The sequence below is a fragment of the Homo sapiens genome, chromosome X, assembly GCF_000001405.40.
Source record: "Homo sapiens chromosome X, GRCh38.p14 Primary Assembly".
NCBI classification, from domain to species: domain Eukaryota; kingdom Metazoa; phylum Chordata; class Mammalia; order Primates; family Hominidae; genus Homo; species Homo sapiens.
Genome location: NC_000023.11, coordinates 64,724,298 through 64,725,780, shown reverse-complemented (window position 1 = coordinate 64,725,780; position 1,483 = coordinate 64,724,298).

The following is a 1,483-nucleotide window of genomic DNA, read 5'->3' as shown; positions in this document are numbered from 1 at the left end:
GAACTATCACATCCTTTTAAAATTGAAAACATTTTTTATATTTATGATGTGCAACATTATGTTTTGATACATGTATGCATTGTGGAATTTCTAAGTCAAGCTAATCAACATACACATTATTTCTACACTTATTTATTTATGATTGATTAGTGATGACCATGTACTTAACAATAATTTTATAATCCCAGCACTATCTACAAGTATCCCATCTTTTTCCTGCTGATCAGCAATGTCTGCTCCAACACATATCAGCTTCATATATGCAAGGGTTTATTTCTGGCTTTCTATTTGATTCCCTCATTCATTTGTCTATACCAGGACCAAGTCTACACTGGTGGAATTATTATAGTTTTATAACGTACTGATACACACTAGATCTAGTCCCCTGACTAGGCAGTTCTTCAAGAGTATTTCGGCTACTATTTAATCTTTGTTGTTCTATATAAACTTTAGAATCAGCTCATCAAGTTCCATGGAAAATGTTTTTTAAATCTTTACTGGGATTTGACTCCACTTTGAATTTTATAGATCTATAGATGAATTGGGGAAAAAAAATCAATATCTTTGTAATATTCAATATTCTAGTCCATGAGCTTTTTATATCTGTCCATTTATTTAGGTGTTCTTTAATGCCTCTTAGTAAAGTTTTATAATTTATACAGAAAGATATTGCACATATTTTATTAGATTTAGATACTCTATATTTCTATTGCTATTAAGAGTAGTGTCTTTTTAAATTATATTTCACAACTGTTTGTTGCTGCTATATAGAAATGTAGTTCACTGTACGTTCTCCTACCCAAACACAATCAAATAAAATACATAACAGAATAAAATTTGGGAAACTCAAAAAAAAAGTGAAAATTCAACAGCATTCTTTTAGCAAAGATTCAAAGAAAAAAATCAATCAGAAATTAGAAAACACTTTAAAGTGAATAATAATGAAAATACAACATGCCAAAACTTATAGGATGCAAGTAAAGCAATGCTTAGAAGTAAATTTATAGCTATAAATGCCCATATTAGAAATGAAAAAAAAAATCTGAAGTCAATAACCTTCCACCTTAAGACACTAGGAAGAGCGAAATAATTCAAGCAGAGAAGGAAATTATAAAGATTAGAGCAGAAATTCATGAAATAGAGAATTTAAAAACTATAGAGAACATCAATGAAACCAAAAGCTGGTTCTTTGAAAGATCAACACAATTGATAAATCTTGAAAGAGAAGAGAGAAGACTTGAATTACCAACATCAGGAATAAAAAATGAGACATTACTATGAACCATATGCACAAAAAATGCTTTTAATGAAATACTATAAACAATTCATTCCAACAAATTAGGTAATCCAGACAAAATGGTCAAACTCCTAGATGTACAGAAACTACCAAAACTGAGTCAAGAATAAACAGAAAATGTGAATATCTCTTAAAAATAAAGAGACTGAGCCCGGGCGTGGTGGCTCACACCTGTAATCCCAGCAC